The 2,312-nt window shown below is 45.9% G+C and overlaps 1 protein-coding gene across 5 annotated transcripts in view; it reads left to right on the top strand.

Annotated features, from left to right (window-relative positions):
* The window catches only part of OGFOD3 (2-oxoglutarate and iron dependent oxygenase domain containing 3), a 29,377-nt gene that overhangs the window by 404 nt on the left and 26,661 nt on the right, over positions 1-2,312 (top strand). The window lies entirely within an intron of this gene.

Raw genomic sequence — 2,312 nt, 5'->3', positions numbered from 1 at the left:
AGGGGCAGGAGAAAGAGAAGGGGGCTTTGCTCCCAGCCTGATGAGCTGCTGCTGCTGCTCCGGGAACCTGCCGTTTGGCTGTCGCTGTCCCGTGGAATAACCCACCCAGCAGCCTGGAAAGTCCGCCTGAGCCAGGAGCGTGCCTCCGCCTTCACTTTTAAACCACGAAACCTGCTTTCCCCGTGGAATTCTAGAGGATCGGGTGCCATGGAGGAATGGCTTAGTTTTAGGATTTTAAAATGTTACGGGTGATCATTGGTTTGCAGGTATTAGTGAAGGAGCCTCTAACGTGCAGAATACAGCTTCTCGCTTGCTTGATATTAATATTTTGCTCTTTTGGGGAGTGCCCAATTCCCCTCTATTGACGATTTGCACATTGAAGTCGTCAGTTTAGAAATATCAGGAGGACACCTCAGGTTTGGATAGACTGCAATAACTCTTAAACCTCATAGTTTGTTCTTGAGATTTTTATCCCTTTTTCATCTCAGCTGCTTTTGGAGTCTACTAGATAGGATCTTAAATGCCTCATGCTAGTTCACAGCTATAATTTTTTTTTTTTTTTTTGAGACAGAGGCTCGCTCTGTTGCCCAGGCTGGAGTGCAGTGGCGCAATCTCGGCTCATTGCAACCTCTGCCTCCCGGGTTCAAGAGATTCTCCTGCCTCAGCCTCCCAAATAGCTGGGATTACAGGCGCCCGCCACCATGCCCGGCTAATTTTTGTATTTTTAGTAGAGATGGGGTTTCACCATGTTGGCCAGGCTGGTCTCGAACTCTCAACCTCAAGCAATCCGCCCGCCTCAGCCTCCCAAAGTGCTGGGATTACAGGCGTGAGCCACTGCACCTGGCCACAGCTATAATTTTTTAAAAGCCAGTCAAATTTAGTTGTGGGGGGTTGTATACCAACGTTGGTGACACTAAGGTTAATAAGTTCTGGGGATCCACTACCATCAGACTAGCTTGCAACTATAATTTTATAAATGAATGACCTAGTGATGATTTATAAGTATTCTACCTTCTCCCAAAACCAAATCTCTCCAAAAGAATATTTCAAGTATAAACATACATGTATCTATTTCCTTCAATAGTAATATGAGAAGTTATTTAATTAATACATTTTAAAAATTTCCAGTAAACTTGTACATTTTCTGAAATACCGAGTACCAGTTTTTGTCAGCACTGAATGGTTAATATAGAAATATAGACTTTTGAGGCTGAGCCTGGTGGTGCTTGCCTGTAATTGCAGCACCTTGGGAGGCTGAGGCGGTTAGATTACTTGAGGTCAGGAGTTCGAGACCAGCCTGACCAACGTGGTGAAACCCCGTCTCTATTACTAAAAATACAAAAAAATAGCTGGGGGTGGTGGTGCACGCCTGTAATCCTAGCTACTTAGGAGGCTGGGGCAGGAGAATTGCTTGAGCCCAGGAGGCAGAGGTTGCAGTGAGCCAAGATCGTGCCATTGCACTCCAGCCTGGGCAACAAGAGTGAAACTCTGTCTCAAAAAAAAAAATAATAAATAAAAATAAAAAAATAAAAGAAATATTGTCCTAATATGCCTTAAATGAGTCTCTATTCAAGTTTTGGAAATACATGTGTCCAAAGCCCCTCTCTTATCATTGTTGGGACAGGCCCAATACCTGCTCCTTGGAACAGACGAGAAGCTTATTTTACAGGAGGGGAGGGAGTGCGGCCCTGATGGAATAACCTGAGCTGTAGGGGGCTCACCTCCGCCCCACCCTGGAAACAACCTTCCTCCAGTGGCCCCCGTCCTTAGTGTTCACCCCTGTGTGGAGGCCCCCATCACTACCAGCCTGTCCTAGAGCAGCTGCACCACAGGGCACCCCATCCTGTCCCATTTTGCTAAGCAAACCCTTTTAAACATCCTTATTTTGTTGTGAAACATCTCACATTAAAGTGGTGTGTGTTTGTTTATTTATTTATTTATTTATTGAGATGGAGTTTTGCTCTTGTTGCCCAGGCTGGAGTGCAATGGCACAATCTTGGGTCACTGCAACCTCCACCTCCCGGGTTCAAATGATTCTCCTGCCTCAGCCTCTTGAGTAGCAGGGACTACAGGCATGTGCCACCACACCCGGTTAATTTTTTTTTTTTTTGTATTTAGTAGAGACAGGGTTTCACCATGTTGGTCAGGCTCGTCTCGATACCCTGACCTCAGGTGATCTGCCCGCCTTGGCCTCCCCAGGTGCTGGGATTACAGGCATAAGCCACTGCGCCGGGCCTGAAGTGGCTTTTATAAGGAGCATGTCTGGCTTTTTTTTTTTTTTTCTTTTGCTTAAAACCCATGAGTCTCTATTG

Source organism: Homo sapiens, chromosome 17 (genome assembly GCF_000001405.40).
Source record: "Homo sapiens chromosome 17, GRCh38.p14 Primary Assembly".
Classification (NCBI taxonomy): Eukaryota; Metazoa; Chordata; class Mammalia; order Primates; family Hominidae; genus Homo; species Homo sapiens.
This window is presented reverse-complemented; position numbering and strand designations above follow the sequence as displayed.